This window comes from Homo sapiens, chromosome 10, assembly GCF_000001405.40.
Source record: "Homo sapiens chromosome 10, GRCh38.p14 Primary Assembly".
Classification (NCBI taxonomy): Eukaryota; Metazoa; Chordata; class Mammalia; order Primates; family Hominidae; genus Homo; species Homo sapiens.
The window spans coordinates 74,200,893-74,220,719 of record NC_000010.11 but is presented as its reverse complement, the minus strand read 5'-3'; the positions used below and the strand labels follow the sequence as shown (position 1 = coordinate 74,220,719).

The window sequence follows — 19,827 nt, the reverse complement described above, 5'->3', positions numbered from 1 at the left end:
CGTATGTTGAACCAGCCTTGCATCCAGGGATGAAGCCCACTTGATCATGGTGGATAAGCTTTTTGATGTGCTGCTGGATTCGGTTTGCCAGTATTTTATTGAGGATTTTTGCATTAATGTTCATCAAGGGTATTGGTCTAAAATTCTCTTTTTTGGTTGTGTCTCTGCCAGGCTTTGGTATCAGGATGATGCTGGCCTCATAAAATGAGTTAGGGAGGATTCCCTCTTTTTCTATTGATTGGAATAGTTTCAGAAGGAATGGTACCAGTTCCTCCTTGTACCTCTGGTAGAATTCGGCTGTGAATCCATCTGGTCCTGGACTCTTTTTGGTTGGTAAGCTATTGATTATTGCCACAATTTCAGAGCCTGTTATTGGTCTGTTCAGAGATTCAACTTCTTCCTGGTTTAGTCTTGGGAGGGTGTATGTATCAAGGAATTTATCCATTTCTTCTAGATTTTCTACTTTATTTGCGTAGAGGTATTTGTAGTATTCTCTGATGGTAGTTTGTATTTCTGTGGGATCAGTGGTGATATCCCCTTTATCATTTTTTATTGCGTCTATTTGATTCTTCTTTCTTTTTTTCTTTATTAGTCTTGCTAGTGGTCTATCAATTTTGTTGATCCTTTCAAAAAACCAGCTCCTGGATTCATTAATTTTTTGAACGGTTTTTTGTGTCTCTATTTCCTTCAGTTCTGCTCTGATTTTAGTTATTTCTTGCCTTCTGCTAGCTTTTGAATGTGTTTGCTCTTGCTTTTCTAGTTCTTTTAATTGTGATGTTAGGGTGTAAATTTTGGATCTTTCCTGCTTTCTCTTGTGGGCATTTAGTGCTATAAATTTCCCTCTACACACTATTTTGAATGTGTCCCAGAGATTCTGGTATGTTGTGTCTTTGTTCTCGTTGGTTTCAAAGAACATCTTTATTTCTGCCTTCATTTCGTTATGTACCCAGTAGTCATTCAGGAGCAGGTTGTTCAGTTTCCATGTAGTTGAGCGGTTTTGAGTGAGTTTCTTAATCCTGAGTTCTAGTTTGATTGCACTGTGGTCTGAGAGACAGTTTGTTATAATTTCTGTTCTTTTACATTTGCTGAGGAGAGCTTTACTTCCAACTATGTGTTCAATTTTGGAATAGGTGTGGTGTGGTGCTGAAAAAAATGTATATTCTATTGATTTGCGGTGGAGAGTTCTGTAGATGTCTATTAGGTCTGCTTGGTGCAGAGCTGAGTTCAATTCCTGGGTATCCTTGTTGACTTTCTGTCTCATTGATCTGTCTAATGTTGATAGTGGGGTGTTAAAGTCTCCCATTATTAATGTGTGGGAGTCTAAGTCTCTTTGTAGGTCACTCAGGACTTGCTTTATGAATCTGGGTGCTTCTGTATTGGGTGCATATATATTTAGGATAGTTAGCTCTTCTTGTTGAATTGATCCCTTTACCATTATGTAATGGCCTTCTTTGTCTCTTTTGATCTTTGTTGGTTTAAAGTCTGTTTTATCAGAGACTAGGATTGCAAGCCCTGCCTTTTTTTGTTTTCCATTCGCTTGGTAGATCTTCCTCCATCCTTTTATTTTGAGCCTATGTGTGTCTCTGCATGTGAGATGAGTTTCCTGAATACAACACACTGATGGGTCTTGACTCTTTATCCAATTTGCCAGTCTGTGTCTTTTAATTGGAGCATTTAGTCCATTTACATTTAAAGTTAATATTGTTATGTGTGAATTTGAACCTGTCATTATGATGTTAGCTGGTTATTTTGCTCGTTAGTTGATGCAGTTTCTTCCTAGTCTTGATGGTCTTTACATTTTGGCATGATTTTGCAGCAGCTGGTACCGGTTGTTCCTTTCCTTGTTTAGTGCTTCCTTCAGGAGCTCTTTTAGGGCAGGCCTGGTGGTGACAAAATCTCTTAGCATTTGCTTGTCTGTAAAGTATTTTATTTCTCCTTCACTTATGAAGCTTAGTTCGGCTGGATATGAAATTCTGTGTTGAAAATTCTTTTCTTTAAGAATGTTGAATATTGGCCCCCACTCTCTTCTGGCTTGTAGAGTTTTTGCCGAGAGATCCGCTGTTAGTCTGATGGGCTTCCCTTTGTGGGTAACCCGACCTTTCTCTCTGGCTGCCCTTAACATTTTTTCCTTCATTTCAACTTTGGTGAATCTGACAATTATGTGTCTTGGTGTTGGTCTTCTCAAGGAGTATCTTTGTGGCGTTCTCTGTATTTCCTGAATCTGAATGTTGGCTGCCTTGCTAGATTGCAGAAGTTCTCCTGGATAATATCCTGCAGAGTGTTTTCCAACTTGGTTCCATTCTCCCCGTCACTTTCAGGTACACCAATCAGACGTAGATTTGGTCTTTTCACATAGTCCCATATTTCTTGGAAGCTTTGATTGTTTCTTTTTATTCTTTTTTCTCTAAACTTCCCTTCTCGCTTCATTTCACTCATTTCATCTTCCATTGCTGATACCCTTTCTTCCAGTTGATCACATCGGCTCCTGAGGCTTCTGCATTCTTCACGTAGTTCTCGGGCCTTGGCTTTCAGCTCCATCAGCTCCTTTAAGCACTTCTCTGTATTGGTTATTCTAGTTATACATTCGTTTAAATTTTTTTCAAAGTTTTTAACTTCTTTGCCTTTGGTTTGAATTTCCTCCCGTAGCTCGTAGTTTGATCGTCTGAAGCCTTCTTCTTTCAACTCGTCAAAGTCATTCTCCGTCCAGCTTTGTTCCATTGCTGGTGAGGAACTGCGATCCTTTGGAGGAGGAGAGGTGCTCTGCTTTTTAGAGTTTCCAGTTTTTCTGCTCTGTTTTTTCCCCATCTTTGTGGTTTTATCTACTTTTGGTCTTTGATGATGGTGATGTACAGATGGGTTTTTGGTGTGGATGTCCTTTCTGTTTGTTAGTTTTCCTTCTAACAGACAGGACCCTCAGCTGCAGGTCTGTTGGAGTTTGCTAGAGGTCCACTCCAGACCCTGTTTGCCTGGGTATCAGCAGCGGTGGCTGCAGAACAGTGGTTTTTCGTGAACCGCGAATGCTGCTGTCTGATCGTTCCTCTGGAAGTTTTGTCTCAGAGGAGTACCCGGCCATGTGAGTTGTCAGTCTGCTCCTACTGGGGGGTGCCTCCCAGTTAGGCTGCTCAGGGGTCAGGGGTCAGGGACCCACTTGAGGAGGCAGTCTGCCCGTTCTCAGATCTCCAGCTGCGTGCTGGGAGAACCACTGCTCTCTTCAAAGCTGTCAGACAGGGACATATAAGTCTGCAGAGGTTACTGCTGTCTTTTTGTTTGTCTGTGCCCTGCCCCCAGAGGTGCAACCTACAGAGGCAGGAAGGCCTCCTTGAGCTGTGGTGGGCTCCACCCAGTTGGAGCTTCCCGGCTGCTTTGTTTAGCTAAGCAAGCCTGGGCAATGGCGGGCGCCCCTCTCCCAGCCTCGCTGCCGCCTTGCAGTTTGATCTGAGACTGCTGTGCTAGCAATCAGCAAGACTCCGTGGGCGTAGGACCCTCCGAGCCAGGTGCAGGATATAATCTCCTGGTGTGCCGTTTTTTAAGCCCGTCGGAAAAGTGCAGTATTCGGGTGGGAATGACCCGATTTTCCAGGTGCCATCTGTCACCCCTTTCTTTGACTAGGAAAGGGAACTCCCTGACCCCTTGTGCTTCCCGAGTGAGGCAATGCCTCGCCCTGCTTCGGCTCATGCACGGTGCGCTGCACGCACTGACCTGCGCCCACTGTCTGGCACTCTCTAGTGAGATGAACCCAGTACCTCAGATGGAAATGCAGAAATCACCCGTCTTCTGCATCGCTCACGCTGGGAGCTGTAGACCGGAGCTGTTCCTATTCGGCCATCTGGGCTCCTCTCACTTTTTATTAATATAAAAAGGATGACATACTCCTCACCTATTGTGAATGAAACTATACACTATTCTATTGCCTGAGTATAAAAACCTTTTAAGTGTTAAACAAGGAATGATTCATATTTTGTCTGTGAAACTTTTTTTTTTTTATTTTTTTTTTTGAGACAGAGTTTCACTCTGTCACCCAGGCTGAAGTACAGTGGCATGATTGTGGCTCACCGCAACCTCTGCCTGCTGGGTTCAAGCAATTCTCGTGCCTCAGTCCCCAAAATAGCTGGGACTACAGGCATGCACCCCCACGCCCGGCTAATTTTCGTATTTTAAGTAGAAACGAAGTTTCACCACGTTGGCCAGGCTGGTCACCAACTCCTCACCTCAAGTGATCCGCCCACCTTGTCCTCCCAAAGTACTAGGATTACAGGTGCGAGCCACTGCACCTGGCCTATTTTCTTCTGTTTAATAATGTACCAACATTTTGAAGGCAGAGAAGCAACATTTTGAAGGCAGAGAAGGAGAAAAAAAATTTTTTTAATAAATAAAAAATAATTTAGCAACATTTTAATACATTTGTTATTTTACCGTGTGCTAATTACAATTTAATGACTAAGAGATATTTTAAAATTTACACATTTTGGCTGGCTGCAAAGACATATAATAGGGTAATCAATATGCATGAAAGACTGTAATGCATAAAAATATACTACCTTCATAATGTATGCATGTTACAGGCAAAATATAACTTATGCATAAAATACATCATATAAGAATAGAATCTGGTGTGAAAAGTATAACAGAAATGCAAATTCAAGACAGAAAGGACTATAAAATTTTTAAACATCAAAAAAGGAAGCTGTTTATGTATTTTTATAAATGAATAAAAGGGGTATCAAATCACAGTGGTATTTAGAGTCCACTAAAAAGAGTGATTTAGGCCAGGCGCGGTGGCTCACGCCTGTAATCCCAGCACTTTGGGAGGCCGAGACGGGCGGATCACAAGGTCAGGAGATCGAGACCATCCTGGTTAACATGGTGAAACCCCGTCTCTACTAAAAAAAATACAAAAAAATTAGCCAGGCATTGTAGTCCCAGCTGCTTGGGAGGCTGAGGCAGGAGAATGGGGTGAACCCAGGAGGCAGAGCTTGCAGTGAGCCGAGATCGAGCCACTGCACTCTAGCCTGGGTGACAGAGCAAGACTCTGTCTTAAAAAAAAAAAAAAAAAAGAGTGATTTATCAGTATTATATAAAGTTATTAAAAATCATTAGCTGGGCGCAGTGGCTCATGCTTATAATCCCAGCACTTTGGGAGGCCAAGGCAGGCAGATCACTTGAGGTCAGGAGTTTGAGACCAGCCTGGCCAACACAGCGAAACCCCATCAGCAAAACCCCATCTCTACTAAAAATACAAAAATTAGCCAGGCGTGGTGGCAGGCGCCTGTGGTCCCAGCTACTGGGGAGGCTGAGGCAGGAGAATCACTTGAACCTGGGAGATGGAGGTTGTAAGTGAGCCAAGATTGTGCCACTGCACTCCAACCTAGGCGACAGAGCCTACTTTCAACTTAGTAGAAAGCTATAACCCAACTTCCCACCATGGCTTTCATAGAATGATGCAAAGCACAGCCTATATTTTGGATGTTTTGTTTTCTAATGGCATAGATAGGTATTCTTTTATAATCAATTCTTACCATGAACATAGTTCCTAAAAATCAGAGACAACAAAATGGTACAGTGGTAGTCCTCAACATTTTTTTCTGCCCTAAATTACTGGAGAAAAATGACATACACTCCAAAGAATAGAAGACGGGGAAGCAAGAGGGAGCACAGGGAAGGGGCCTCTTTATTCTGCCTCTAGCCCCTACAAAGAGAACAACTGAGTGAAAAAAATCACTAGATACAAATCAAAAAACCTGCAATATCATCCTGATTCTGACATTAACTTGTTTTCTGAACTGGGCAAGCCACTTAATTTCTCTAATGAGGATAAACCTGCCTATGTCACAGGGTTGCTATCCAGATCAAATAACATTACACAAAAAGTGTCCAGCGCATTATTTAACAATTATGATAAATACTCATCCCTGCCCCCTCTTCCTGGAATCTTCTACCCCTATAAAATGAAGAATTCAATTAGCTCAAAAAGGGAGGAAAGGGCACTTTTAAATGTTCATAACTTTTATAAGAGCCTTTTAATGAGACTGAAACAAACACTTTTTATTCAAATGTGCTCCTCCTCTGAAGATCAGCATAGCACAGAGCTTAGTGCCTTGAAAGGCGCAGGAACAGACTGTGAAGTTCTGAAATAGGACAGTCATAAGAGAGGTGCCATGCCTAATGTTGCACAGTTAATGTCAAGTTAAGACTTGGTACATAGCAGATGACAATAAAATATTCTATAAATACTTGGAACTAAAATTGCCTTCCAAGAATTAAATCAGTAAAATTTCTATAAATCTACAAATATTGCCACATAGTCCAAAGAATCCCAACAGTATCAAGTAAAGTTTTACAGAATTGGCAAAACCAATCAGGTAGACAGTGTGGATATGGCAAGATTTTAAACAACATATTTAATTGGCTCTTCCAATTTAAAAAAAAGTTGATTAAAATATATTACAAAGGAAGAAAATGGGGGGGCAAAACCATTAATCACTACAACAATGTTTGAGACTAAAGCTGGACTGAAATTTAAGAAGCTTATAAAGAAATAGATTAAGAGTAAATCACAGGGTTAGAATAAAAAAGCAAAAAGTTACAAGGTTTATGAAAATAATATTTTTAAATCTCATTAGCAAAGTAAACGAGGATTAAAACTCAATTAGAGAAAGCTGAAAGAATTAAACTAGATTTAAACCTAAATACCTAAAATAGAACTATACTCTTTGTATTCTTAATTTTTCTTATGCTTTTTATTTTAAAAATTTTACTGATAATTGTTCAAAATGACTAGCCACATATTTTATTAAAGGACATTTTAAAATTTGGAATTGGAAGATATTGATATCACTGCTTAGCTCTTGGGTCACATCAGCAAAACCGGCCCATGTTATATCAACCTCCCATTTATTTGCTAATACATTTTATTTCTGGCTTCTGTCTCCATATTTGCACTGTGATTTGCCTGGCAGAGGGCGCCACTGACATCCCATTCAAATACAGGGGACCCTTTTAGGCATTACTTTACTAGATATCTCTGTTGCATCAGGTATTATTGACTATTCTTATATAAACTCATCATACTTCATCAGAGCTTGTCTTAGTTCTGCTTTTTCTTAATCTCATTCTATACTCATTCTTTATCTATCCATCTATTAAATGTTCTAGCTTCCAGCCCACTCCTTTTACTTTTTACTCTTTCTTTTTTTTTAGAAAGTTTCATCTACTGGTTGCTTTAAATACCAGCCACATAATAATAAAAATAGTGCTAGTAATAGCTACCATTTATTGAATAATATTGCGTCAAACTATGTAAAATTAAATACAATTAAAGAGTCCAGGCAAGGCACTGTAGCTCACATGTGTAATCCCAGCACTTTGAGAGAATGAGGTCAGAGGATTCCAAGACCAGCCTGGGCAACATAGTGAGACCCATCTCTAAAAAACAAATTTTTTTTTAATTAGCTGGGCATGGTAGGGCACATGCCTGTAGTCCCAGCTACTCGGGAGGCTGAGGTAAGAGAATCGCTTAAGCCTGGGAGGCTACAGGGAGGCATGACAGCACCACTCACTGCACTCCAGACTGGGCAACACAGCAAGACCCTGTCTCCAGAAACAAAAGGAGTCCAGCCATGACTCTTCTACCCACCAAAAACATAAATCCAACTGTCTCCTGAATATGCCTGCCTGGATATCATAGTCATCTCAAGCTTGAACAAAACTCAATTCAATCTTTCAAGCCCCTCTTCCATATCCTCCTCCTATACTCCCTAACTCATTTGTAAATACCACCATCAGTCACCAAAACCAAAAATTCAAATGTTATCTCTAACTCCTTTTACCCTCTTCATTAAATCAATCAAGTCTTACCTTGATAACACGAAAAGTATTACTGCACTCTCTTCCCAACCATTCTATCATAACTAAAGTGATCAAGTCATCATCTCGCAACAGGTTTATCACTATAGCCTCCTCAAATCTATTGATCCACTACAGACAAAGCAATTCACATAATCCTAAAATATGAATCCAACCATGTCATCTGCCTGCTTAAATCTCTCAAGTGCTCTCCATTGCCAATAATAGAGGCACGAGAGATTTCAAGCTCAGTAGCCAGTAATATTAGCTAACATATGCCAAACATTCAAATAATCTCATTCAATCCTCACAAGAACCCTAATAACCTTATTTTACTCACAAGGAAACTGAGCTTCCATAGATAACCAAGGTCACACAGCTCCAGAGCACACTCTTAACCTCTATTCTATAATGCCACTGTGAAGAAGTAAGTGATTTCTTTCCACATCTGTCTCCTCAATTAGATTACAAGCTGCTTAAAGGCAAAACAGTTATTTAATATTGTATTCCCAGTATTTGGCAAAAGAGTAACCATAAAACATATGCTCCAAAAAGTGTGTGTTGAGCTGTGAAATGAACTGTTAAAAAAGAATCTATGTTTACTTATCCTTAGAAGTACCATTTCCTTCAATATTCAAAGTTAAGTTTGAACATCAAAGAACCCAAAGAACAGCATCTATTTGGGCAAAATGAAGGAAAGTAGTCTGTGTTCATTTAGTATCCATAATTTAGGTTGTTTTTTGAGGAAGCCCCAGAGCAACTCAGGACCAATCACTCAATATGTGAAATGACATAAAGATTCAAATAGCAGTTTATTTCAAATTCTAAGAATTTAGAATTTTGAAGGAGAGAAGCAGAATAACCAAAGACTATCTGTTAATGTAGGTCACAAGGTAGTCAAATAAGAGAAAATATTCAAACTTAAGAAGCATTTCCAAACACCACCAATAATCTAGAATATGTTGTAGAAAAATATATCATATACACAATAGATACAACTTTTTTTGAAGATACCTTTAAAAAATATAAACATATAAAAAGAAATGTAAAATTTTACAATAAACCTAAGCTGTACTGGTTAATATCATATATGCTAATTATATCTATTAAAATTTAATTAACATGAAATAAAATGTTGAAATTCATCAGTTGCACTAGCCACACTTCAAATGATCAAAGCCAAATGTGACTAGTGGTTACCATGTTGGATAGCACAGATACACAACATTTCCATAATCATGAAACATTCTAGTGGACAGCACACACTGCTGCAAAGATACTGACCCCAGATTTCATTTGTACTTTATTGACTTCTACATGGTCTGAATTTTTTTCTAAAAAGCATTTACTTTTAGAATTTTTGAATCTAACAGATTTAGCAAATGATCACTACCATAAGATGTATACGTTTTTTAAAAAAATCAGCCTAACCATTTTGTAACCCATATTAAATGTATTTAAATTTTACATGTTATTAAAAGATAATAGAAGAATACCTAAAATACAGAAAGAAATATTTGTAAGGATAAGAAAATTTGTTGGTAAAGATCTCTTTTTTCCAAATTAATCCATAAATACTAAACAAAATCCCAGACAGAATATTCAGGTCAATTAAAGACCTAAATATACAAAACATAATGTTGAAAGCTGTAGAAAAAAATATGGCAATAGCTTTATAAAGAATTAATTAAAAGACCGGGCACGGTAGCTCACACCTGTAATCCCAGCACTTTGGGAGGCTGAGGTGGGTGGATCACTTGAGGTCAGGAGTTAAAGACCAGCCTGGTCAACATGGTGAAACCCCGTCTGTATTAAAAATACAAAAATTAGCCAGGCATGGTGGCACATGCCTGTAATCTCAGCTACTCAGGAGACTGAGGCATAAGAATAGCTTGAACCCGGGAGGCAGAGGTTGCAGTGAGCTGAGATCATGCCACTGCACTCCAGCCTGAGCGACAGTGAAACTTCATCTCAAAGAAAAAAAAAATTAACTACAAAAGTGTCAGAGCAGTTTACAATTCATTTTAAAGCAAAACAATTAAATGTCTAGCTTTTAACCTAACACATGCAGTCTCACTTGACACTAAATATTTTTTTCACTTTCAAAGCTAACATACACCCATTTGTAGAAGAAATAAATTTTTATTTATAGAAATAATTCAGTTGTAAATTATTGGCACTGAATAATCAGCACTAAAATTTATGGCCAATTACTTTGAGCATTTTCCTTTTTTTAATTTTTAGAGACAGGGTCTCACTATATTGCCTAGGATGGAGTGCAGTGGCTATTCACAGGCATAATCATGATGCACTACAGCTAAAGCCTCCCAAGTAGCTGGCACTACAGGCAAGCACCACCACAGCCAGCTACTTCGGGCATTTTAGGTTTGAACATTAAGTAACATCTTTCATGCATACTCAGATTAATAAAAACTCATGTAAGGTTTGTATGTTTATTAAAGGTTTAGATCTGTAAGAAAAACACGTCTCCTCAACTACTCCTGTCATAAAACTGAGTATTTTCTATTTTTTTTTTTTTTTTTTTTTCCTGAGATGGAGTCTCACTCTGTCGCCCAGGCTGGAGTGCAGTGGCGCAATCTCGGTTCACTGCAACCTCCGCTCCTGGGTTCAAGCGATTCTCCTGCCTCAGCCTCCTGAGTAGCTGGGACTGCAGGCGTGTGCCACCACACCCAGCTAATTTTTTATTTTCAATAGAGATGGGGTTTCACCTTGTTAGCCAGGCTGGTCTCTAACTCCTGACCTCAGGTGATCCGTTCACCTCGGCCTCCCAAAGTGCTGGGATTACAGGTGTGAGCCACCGCGCCCAGCCAAAACTGAGTATTTTCATTTCTACTGATGGTTTTCCTTTCTCAATTACCATTTCATTCATTCTCTCATTCCTCTTACTTTCATATTTATCTAGTGTCAGGAAAAACCAAGGCAAACCTACCTTACACATTCCTTCCCTGCCTTTTTCATCCCTATTAATACATACCTCCATAATTACAGACCAGGGCTCAACTGGAGGTATTCATATGTTCCACATTTCCTATCCCCTCATGCCCACTGTGTCCCTACAGTTTACTAGAAAAGATTCTTTTCAATAATGTACTTTCTGCCACAGGTGTTCCTAATAACTTTCAATTCTTTTTTTGGTGGGAGGGACAGGAGTTTGAGGCTGCAGTGAGTGACTAGGCTATGATTGTGCTACTGCACTCCAGTCTGGGAAACAGAAAAACTTGTCTCTAAAAAAAAAAAAATCAGAATCAGAAAAATATTTTATCAAATGAATTTTGACAATTAGAACTCACTTTCACAGTGTAAGATACTAATCAGTATATATCTCATTCATTTGGTATATGTCTTGGTCCCCTTGTGCTGCTATAACAAAAATACCACAGACCAGGCTATTTATTTATTTACTTACTTATGTTTTGTTGTTGTTTTATTTTTCTTATTTTGTTTGGGGTAATTTGTAAACAATAGAAATATATTTCTCACATTCCTGGAGGCTGGGAAATCCACGGTTAAGGCACCAGCAAGATTGGTGTCTGGCGAGGCTTTTCTCTGCTTCTAACATGGAACCTTGTTGCTGCATCCTCCAGAGGGGAGGAACACTGTGTCCTCACATGACAGAAGGAATGTAAAGGCAGGAGAGCTCTCCCTTCAACCTTGAGTCCTTTCACAAGTGTGCTAACCCCATTCATAAGAGCAGAGCCTTCATAACTTGGTCAACCCCCAAGAGTCACACTTCTTATACTGCTACACTGGGGATAAGTTTCAACATGAATTTTTGGAGAGGATACCATCATTCAAACCATAGCAATATACCACTTATCTATGCTGGGTGCGGTGGCTCATGCCTGTAATCCCAGCACTTTGGGAGACCGAGGTGGGCAGATCACCAGAGGTCAGGAGTTCGAGACCACCCTGGCCAACATGGTGAAACCCTGTCTCTACTAAAACTGCAAAAATTAGCCGGGCATGGTGGCACATGCCTGTAGTTCCAGCTACTCGGGAAGCTGAGGCAAGAGGATCGCTTGAACCTGGGAGGCAGAGGTTGCAGTGAGCTGAGATTGCGCCACTGCACTGCAGCTTGGGTGACAGAGCAAGACTCCAACTCAAAAATAAAAAATAAAAAAATAAAAAAATAAAAAATATATATATACATAGTACTTATCTAAATACTTATCTAATGGTGGCTCAAAATGTAGGCTAAACACGATTCGTTTATATCATAAGGTAAGTTTTTAAATATATTTGGAAGAAATAGCCAGGAGTAACAATAGAGAAGACTCTTTTATTGTTAGGGTCCAAAGACTTGTTTTTTATCTTCAAGTACTTATTTGAAAATCAAAGTTAAAGATTAAAACCTTCCAAATATAAAATAGAACTTCAGCTAGCCACTTAGGACCAGCTGCTAGTAAAACATGTAAAACAAAGAAGTTACTCGAGCTCCCAGCAGCGTCATTGATGGCAGCAGCAGGCTGTCTAGAGCAGCTGCTGCAAAGACACTGGCTACAATTGGGGAGATGCAGCCAGGGCTGCATGCTCCACAGAGCCCATGGGAGCTGGGAACAGGTGGGAGCCACACCCACTTCCAAGTTGGCAGGGCTGGAGCCCCACCCTCCTGAGTGCAGCTGCAGCCACCCAGCCATGGCTGTGGACCCAGGTATCCCTGCACTCTCTGGGGCCCGGGAAGTCCCCCTTTCCCCTGCAGACTCAGAAGTGCCTGTTCCCATGCCTGGCCTCTCCTCGATCCCAGCACCTGCTCCAGGGTGGAGCAAAGTCGTGGCCAAGCCCAGGCACTGTCACAACCCAGCAGGTGTGCATGTGCTCGGGGCAGCACTGACATACCAGCCCCCTGCCCCCTCAGCCCCCTCTGGACTTTAGGTGCAGAGAAGCATGGGAAGGAGGCCAAGGTGGGACTGAGGGCAGCTCAATGGGGCCAGCAAGTACCCTCATCACCAACAGCCTGCACACTGTGGACAACATGATTGATGGCAGCAGGAGGCAGACACTCTCCTGGGAAAAAAGGGGTGGGTTCAGGTGAAGCCCTGCCTTCAAGCCAGGGACAGCCTGAAGCATGGGGGCCAGGCTATCAGTTCCAGGTGGGGTCCACTGAGGGGAGTGAGACTCATGGTGCTTTTTCCAGACCCACCCATAGCCGCCCATGGACCAATCAGCACACACTTCTCCCTTGTGAAGCCCATTAAAAACCCTGGACTCAGCCAGACTTACAGAAGAGACCTGGGACTACCAACTGTGGAAAGGAGTTACCCCCTCGGGGTCTCATCTCACTGAGAGGTGAACACTTGTCAGGACGACCTGCCTGCAGAAAGGAGCTACCCACTTCGGGTCTCCTGAGAGCTGTTCTGTTGCTCAATGAAGCTCCTCTCCACCTTGCTCACCCTCCAGTTGTCCCCATACCTCACTGTTCATGGATGCAGGATAAGAAGACCCACCAAGTGGCAGGACTGAAACAGCTGTAACACAAACAGAGCTAAAATATGCCTCACCCCACTCAGCACCTTGCAGGCAACAAGAAGGAAAGAAGAGCTGCAGCCCTTCTGAGAGCCCAGACCTAGGGGGTTCCCAATCCAGGGCTGTGACACTCTCTTTGGGGCTCTGTGGTTTCTGGTGTCTCCAAGCTTCTGGGCACCACCATATTATCCTCGTCCAGACGTGGGTTCCTACAGTGGAAGCCACTTGAGATGCATCAGATCCAGCCGCAAGCTTGCATGAAGCCAGCACCTGTGCCAGTGCCTGGAGATGCCCACCCCACCACAGCAGCCAGCATGAGTGGCTGTACACAGTGGCCAGATCCCATATTCGCTTGCTCACACACTCTTTGCCACGCCACTCTGCACCTGGCTCGCCCTTGGCAGGTGTGGGATCCAGGCTGGTAGCATGAGCCGAACGCAGCCTGCCAGGCCAAACAAGCAGAACAAGCCTGGCAGGCACAAGCAAACCTCAGGCAAAGGCTCCACCAACCACAGTGGCTTCTGGCTGGAAAAGCGACACCCTAAGGATCCTGTGACATCATCACACAGCTGCCAAGTCATAATCACTCTGATCACATTTGCCTGAAATTTTAAAAACAGTGATCCAAAAACATAATGTTGAGTGAAAAACAGCATACTAACAAAGACTACACATAGTATTAGCCCATAAACATTCATCTTCAGGTTATATATGCCTAACAAACATCTGGAGGCATGTTCACCAAAATAACAACACTGATTATATATGTGTGAAAGCTAATCATATAAATTGGGTCATTCTTGTCATATCTGACTAAAACAGGTGACAGGCTGGGGGGAAGAGCACTCAGCACACATAACATTGCTCCAAGAAGGTAATTCTCTGCAAGCCTGGCTGCTGAAACTGCCTGTTGTCATCTGAAAACAGTTTTATCCAGTAGCTACTGAAACAATGAGCTGTGACTCTAAAAGACTAGTTCTACTCACTGCAGTCACTCACCAATCAAAGCTTGCCACCTCCCCAAAACTAGTGCCAATGAGCTTTCTTTCAAAACAATACAAAACATTTCACCTTTTTATAAAACTTCCAATCTTATCTTTCTTCTTCAGACATAGCAAAGACCACCTGGTCTGTGTGTATATCCCAAATTTCAATTCTTGCTTCCCATATAAAATGTTCTACATTTATGGGTTTGTCTCTATACTTTATTTTACTTTTGAAATACACGATAAAATTTCAAATTTTTAAGTTGCTCTTTACTTTTATACATCATGATTTTTTTAAAATAGTGACCATGAATTAGTTGACTTCCTGAACAAAATATCTCACACTACACAAACAAAAGAGATCTAATTTTAAACCCATGAATTCATGTCCAACTGATTTTATTTTCTGTTTATTACAGCCTTTGATATATAACTGACATACAATAAACTGTAGACATTTAAAGTATACAATTTGATACGTTATATACCCATATAAGCATCACACTACCAGTTTTCCCCTAACGTAACCTTTATAGGGTTAAGAAAGTTATCGACATAGTTACCTAGGTTGCTTTAAGTTATTTTTTTTCATCAGGAATAGATATTAGATTTTGTCAAAAGGTTTTTCTTTGTCTATTGAGATAATTATATGGAGTTTTCTTAGACTGTTATGTTAGTTTCTTACTATAGTGAATTACTCTAATTACATTTCTTTTTTTTTTTTTTTTTTTTGAGACAGATTCTCAGGCTGTCACACTGGCTGGAGTGCAGTGGTGCAATCTCAGCTTACTGCAACCTCCGCCTCCCAGGTTCACCCGATTCTCCTGCCTCAGCCTCCCGAGTATCTGGGATTACAGGCACACACCACCATGCCCAGTTAATTTTTGTATTTTTAATAGAGACGGAATTTTGCCCTATTGGCCAGGCTGGTCTCAAACTCCTGACCTCAAGTGATCCATCCACCTCAGCCTCCCAAAGTGCTGGGATTACAGGCGTGAGCCACCACGCCCAGTCTTCTAATTACATTTCAAATGTTAACCTGCTCTACATTCCTGGTACACTACTTAATTCTGCAATAAATGATACACAGAGTGATAATGTGGGTAAGTCATTTTCAACTTTCATTATGAATTTGTATTCAAAGTTGGGAAAACAATTATAGATAGATAACAGAATGAAAACATCAACCTTAAAAACACAGTTAATAGAATAGAAAGATAGAAGAAGTAGCATAGGAAAGAATAGGGGCACCAGTAATCTCGTTCTCCATAATGAGAAGTCAATGGATTCCATTGAAATTTGGGTTTTTTTGTTTTGGTGTGGTTTGGCTTGGTTTAATTTTTTTTTTTTTTTTTTTTTTTTTTTTTGAGACAGAGTGTCAACTCTGTCACCCAGGTTGGAGTGCAATGGTGCAATTTCAGCTCACTGCAACCTCTGCCTCCCGGGTTCAAGCAATTCTCCTGCCTCAGCCACCCGAGTAACTGGGACTACAGGTGCGTGCCATCACACCTGGCTAATTTTTGGTATTTTTAGTAGACACAGGGTTTTGCCATGTTGGCATGACTTGAACTCCTGACCTCAAGTGATTCACCTGCCTCAGCCTCCAAAAGTGCTGGAATTACAGGCGTGAGCCACCACGCCCAGCCTGAAATTTGACAGAAAAAGAAATTTTAAGAAATGTAAGTATAGTATATTATTTAAAAGTACAAGGTAACCAAAAGAACTAAAATCATTAAAGTAACTGTATATAGTAGTATTTTCTGACTGGGAAAGTGTGTTTTAAAGTTTCTATCTGAATGTCTTAGGATAAAACACATCTCCCAGTTTATCCTAGACCCCCAGCACATTTCCTATTATATTACCGTAAGTCAAATTTACACATTTATAAATTCTTGCCTTACCCTTTGACATTTGAGTTTAGCCAAATATACTTACAGGGGTAATCCCCAGGATATAAAAAAAAGTTTCAAAAAAATTATTGTCCCCCATAATTACTTATATTTCTACATACTATCAATGAACAATAAGAAAATAAAACAATCCCAATTTACAATGGCATCAAAAATAATAAAATTAAATTTAACCAAAGAAGTATAAGACTTATGCACTGAAAACCTACTAAACACTGCTAAAATTATTTTAAAAAGACCTAAGGCTAGGCACAGTGGCTTACACCTATAATCCCATAACTTTGGGAGGCCAAGACGGGTGGATCACAAGGTCAGGAGTTTGAGACAAGCCTGACCAACATGGTGAAACCCTGTCTCTACTAAAAATACAAAAATTAGCCAGGCATGATGGCACACACCTGTAATCCCAGCTACTCAGGAGGCTGAGGCAGTAGAATCGCTTCAACCCGGGAAATGGAGATTGCAGTGAGCTGAGATCATGCCACTGCACTCCAGCCTGGACAACAGAGCAAGATTCTGTCTCCAAAAAAAAAAAAAAAAAAAAAAGACCTAAATAAATGGAAAGACATTCTGTCTTCATAACTCGGAAGACTTAATCATGTATTTATCTATACATTCAATGTAATTCCAATCAAAATTCCAACTGCCTTTTTTACAGAAATGAAAAAGCTATCCCCAAAAATTCATATGGAATTGTGAGGGATCTCAAATTAAAAATTAATAATAATAATAATAATAATCTTGAAAAACAAAGTTGGAGGACTGACACTTCCTGACTTCAAAATTTACTACAAAGCTACAGTAATCAAAACAGTGTCGTACAGGCCAGGTATGGTGGCTAATGCCTATAATCCCAGCACTTTGGGAGGCCAAGGTGGGAAGACAACTTGGGCCTAGGATCAAGCCAGACTTGAGTTTGAGACCAGCCTGGGCATCATAAGGAGACCCTGTTTATACAAAAAAAAATTTAAAATAGCTAGGGATGGTGGTACCTGCATATAGTCTCAGTTACTTGGGAGGCTGAAATAGAAGGATCACTTGAACCCAGGAGTTCAAGGTTTCAGTGAGCTATGATTGCATCACTGCACCCCATCCTGGGTGACAGAGCAAGACCCTGTCTCCAAAAAAAAAACAAAAAACAAAACACACATACACAAAAACACCAATGTCATACTGGCATAAGGACAGACATATGTATCAATGGAATAGAATGGAGTCCAGAAATTTACCCATATATCTATGGTCACCTGATTTTGTCAAGAGTATCAAGATCATTCAGTGGGGAAAAGAATAGTCTCTTCAACAAATGATGTTGAGACAATTGGATTTCCACACACAAAAGAATAAAGTTGAACCCTTATTTCATACCTTATACAAAAATTAACTCAAAATTGATCAAATGCCTAAATCTAAGACCTTAAACTACAAAACTCTTAGAAGAAAACACAGGCACAAATCTTTGTGATCCTGGATTTAACAATAGATTCTTACATATGACAGCAAAAGCATAAGCAACAAAAGAAAAATAAAATGGACATCATCAAAATTTAAAACTTTTGTGCATCAAAGGATACTATCAAAAAATTAAAGTAAATCCCCAGAATGGGAGAAAATGTTTGCAAATCATATGCTAGCTGATAGGGTCTAGTATCCAGAATATAAAAAGAACTTTTACAACTTAACAAAAAGACAACGACCCAATTAAAAAATGGGCAAAGAGCTTCAACATTTTCCCAAAGATATACAAATATCCAATAAGCATATGAAAAGATGCTAACATCAAAAGTTTTCAATAGAAAAATGCAAATCAAAATCACAATGAGACATCATTTCACACCCACTCATATGGCTATAATTTAAAAAATAAAAAATAAGCTTTGGCAAAGACGTAGAGAAACTGGAACACTTATGCACTGCCGGTAGGAATGCAAAACAGTGCAGCTGCTTTGGAAAACAGTTTGGTGGTTTCTCTAGAAGTTAAACACAGAATTACCATGTGACCCAGCAGTTCCACTCCTATGTGTATACCCAAGAGAAATGAAAACACATTCCTACACAAAAGCTTATACATGAATATTCATAAGAAGCATTGTTCCTAATAGACAAAAAATAAAAACAACATAAGTGTCCATCAACCAATGAATGGATAAACAAAATGTGGTCTATCCACACAATGGAATAGTCCACTATTAAAAGGAATGAAGGACTGATACATGCTACAACATGGATGAACCTTGAAAGCATTACATAAGTAAAATAAGCCCAAACACAAAAGGTCATATATATAAACACAAAAGATCATATATTATTATATGATTCCATTTCTATAAAATGCTCAGAATAGACAAATTCATAGAAAAACTAAGTATACTAGTAGTTCCCAGGAGACTGGGTTAGAGGAGGGAATAGCGAATGACTACTTACTGGGTATGGGATTTCATTTTGGGGTGATGAAAATGTCCTGAATTAGATAGTGGTGATGGTTGTACAACTTTGTGAATATACTGGCAGTCACTGAATTGTATACTTTATAATGGTTAAAACGATCAATTTTATGCGATATAAATTTTGCCTCAATTTTTTAAAAAGTAATTACTCTTGGGTACAGAAATCAGGGTGTGTGAGGAGAGGGGGGATCTTGCTTTCTCATCATTAATCTTTTTTACTACTTAAATTTGCCATATAGTAGTGCCCCCGTTATCCGAGGTAGATGCATTGTAAGATGACCAGTGGGTATCTGAAACCATGGATAGTACTGAACCATATATAGATAGATAGATAGATAGATAGATAGATAGATAGATAGATAGATAGATAGATACATACATACATACATACATACATACATACATATACACACACACACAAACACACACACACTGTTTTTCCTACACATACATACCTACACATCATACTATGATAAAGTTTCATTTATAAATTAGGCACAATAAGAGATTAACAACAACTAACTAAAAATAGAACAACTATTAAAATATACTGTAATAAAAGTTATGTGGACGTGGTGCATGTCTCTCTCTCAAAATGTCTTATTACACTGTCCTATGGGTAACTGAGACCTCAGAAACTGAAAACAAGGACACAAGTGGGGACTATTGTACGAAATGGCCTCAAATACTTAGGTAAATAAACAAACTGATTTCTCAGCTAAGTTGAAACATTGGAAGTTACTAATAAAGCGGAAACAGCAGAGCTTCATATCCTCTGAATTATATCCTGCACGTTCTCTTGTCTTCTCTAATCATCTTTCTTCTCCCATTATAGCTTCTGAGAGGAAACCAGACTGGGCACATTCGGGGTAGAATGTCTGTAGATTATGATACCATTATAGACGTAGCTCACTGACAGTAGTTTAAAAGTTGGGGAATTAAATAATTAGGTAAATTATATAAACTTTTCTCCTTCCAAATAATAAGCAAAAAAGTTTTAAGTAAAAATAGCAATGTATATAAGTTTTCCCAAGGAAAACTGTACTCAGTTATTCAATAGTTAATGATAGCACACTTGCTATCACCAAACTTAAATTTCCTGAGTTTTCCTTTAATTGAAGACATTCGGTGGTAAATTCACTTCTAAAGTTTTCATCC

General features: G+C 39.6%; 1 protein-coding gene across 13 annotated transcripts in view, besides 2 other annotated features; it reads right to left on the bottom strand.

The window, feature by feature from the left end:
• The window catches only part of ADK (adenosine kinase), a 558,070-nt gene that overhangs the window by 488,571 nt on the left and 49,672 nt on the right, over positions 1-19,827 (bottom strand). The gene's annotated exons all lie outside the window — the stretch shown is intronic.
• Positions 13,179-13,709: an enhancer, noted in NCBI's record as "H3K27ac-H3K4me1 hESC enhancer chr10:75966769-75967299 (GRCh37/hg19 assembly coordinates)". NCBI's record gives its function as "activates a minimal SCP1, AML or CMV promoter by ChIP-STARR-seq in naive H9 embryonic stem cells {active_cell/tissue: H9 hESC(naive)}" and the evidence as "EXISTENCE:reporter gene assay evidence [ECO:0000049][PMID:30033119]".
• Positions 13,710-14,242: an enhancer, noted in NCBI's record as "H3K27ac-H3K4me1 hESC enhancer chr10:75966236-75966768 (GRCh37/hg19 assembly coordinates)". NCBI's record gives its function as "activates a minimal SCP1, AML or CMV promoter by ChIP-STARR-seq in naive H9 embryonic stem cells {active_cell/tissue: H9 hESC(naive)}" and the evidence as "EXISTENCE:reporter gene assay evidence [ECO:0000049][PMID:30033119]".